The sequence below is a fragment of the Homo sapiens genome, chromosome 8 (genome assembly GCF_000001405.40).
Source record: "Homo sapiens chromosome 8, GRCh38.p14 Primary Assembly".
In the NCBI taxonomy this organism is placed as follows: domain Eukaryota; kingdom Metazoa; phylum Chordata; class Mammalia; order Primates; family Hominidae; genus Homo; species Homo sapiens.
Window position 1 is genome coordinate 30574320 of NC_000008.11, and position 1483 is coordinate 30575802.

Sequence of the window (1483 nt, forward strand, 5' to 3'; positions counted from 1 at the left end):
CACCCTCATGGCATAAAACCTCATGGCATAAAACAACTTTACAGCCTGCATAGAAAACCTAAGAATATTCATTACCAGTGAGGTGTTATTTAAAACACTCATCCTCAATAAATGCCTCTCCTAAAACTCTAATAACTATGATAATGAAAAACTGTATGTTGTCAGCAATTTGATCAAGAGCACTAAATTAGGAAATTTCAATAACTGCCACTGTAAAGCTATCTGTCCCTGCTGTAGAACATCCCAGATGGAACTAATATTAACTCTTGTGTGAACTGGCCTGGCTCCATAGCTACCCAATCCTGAGAGATGCCAGTGTGCTGTGAGAACTAGGCCCCTCTGCAGCTCTCCAACGAACCTGCCACTTACCTCTTCCTGACCCTCAGTTCAAACTCATTCCTATTTGGGGGGCGAGGGAGGAGGGAGCTCTTCCTACAAACCGTAATAATTTGCTGGTAAACATAAACAAAACAGTGAAGGCTTCCATTCTCCACCACTGTTCACATACATCTCACCTATGGACGATCTGAGGGGAAGAGAAAATTCGGGTCCTTGTGTTCCACTTGTCCAGTTGAGAAATTCACGTGGAACTCTGCCCATGGTCGTTAATTCCAAGTTAGGAACTTGGGCCAAATGCTTAAAGTCAACCCAAACTTCTCTTCTGAGCAAAAAGGAAGGCCTAAATGCAATGAGAAATGATGCACGAGTTAAATAAAAGATTTACCTGGACAAAAGAGCACTTTTTAAAACTACAACATAAGCTTTGGCGTGGGGGCTTAGCAGGCACTTCAAAACCTCACAATCACCACCCACGGGACAAACCTGCTCTTGGCGCTTCTAGAGCTGGTCCCGCCTAAATCAGGATATGGTTCACTCAGTTATCCCCTGCTGGCACCCTTCTGTGTTTTCTTTAAAGGAAAGTCTTTGCCTTTTCTCCCTTGACATGCAAGCCCCACGAAGTTGTGGCCAGATGAAAAGTCACTGGGCTTTCACCAGGGTCTCAGAACCACATGGTTAAGTCACACAAATGTGCTGGTCCCATCCCCAACCAGTGGAGTTGGATTAGTCCCCTCCCCATCTGCTGAAGAGCAGGATCCACATTTATTTCTAATGGAAATCCAGGGAAGCAAAATGCACTGTCGTTCTTTACACTGCAGCCAGAGGGGGGCCAACCGTACAGCGCCAGCCAGGGCCGTCTAGCTCTTTGAGTTTCCAGCGGTGCTTCCCCCAACACTCCAGACAGGACAGGGATGGGTGTTCTACGGTCCAGTTAGTCTGAAAAATGGTTTCCAAGAGGTCCTTGGACCATCCCACCACAACTCCCACAGAACACCTTCTCATCTCTCAGGACAAGCCCACAAAAACCACCCTGAGAGACCTCGAACCTGCAGGAAGGTCCAGGAGGGCTGCTCCGCCTCGCTGCAGAAGGCGCGGCACCAGGCTGAGCTTGTCAACAGTCAACCAAACCTTAGAAAACCCCAAA

General features: G+C 47.3%; 1 annotated feature.

Moving 5' to 3' along the window:
• Positions 1434 to 1483: a silencer, noted in NCBI's record as "silent region_19078". NCBI's record gives its function as "represses an Ori minimal core promoter by ATAC-STARR-seq in GM12878 lymphoblastoid cells {active_cell/tissue: GM12878}" and the evidence as "EXISTENCE:reporter gene assay evidence [ECO:0000049][PMID:35858748]".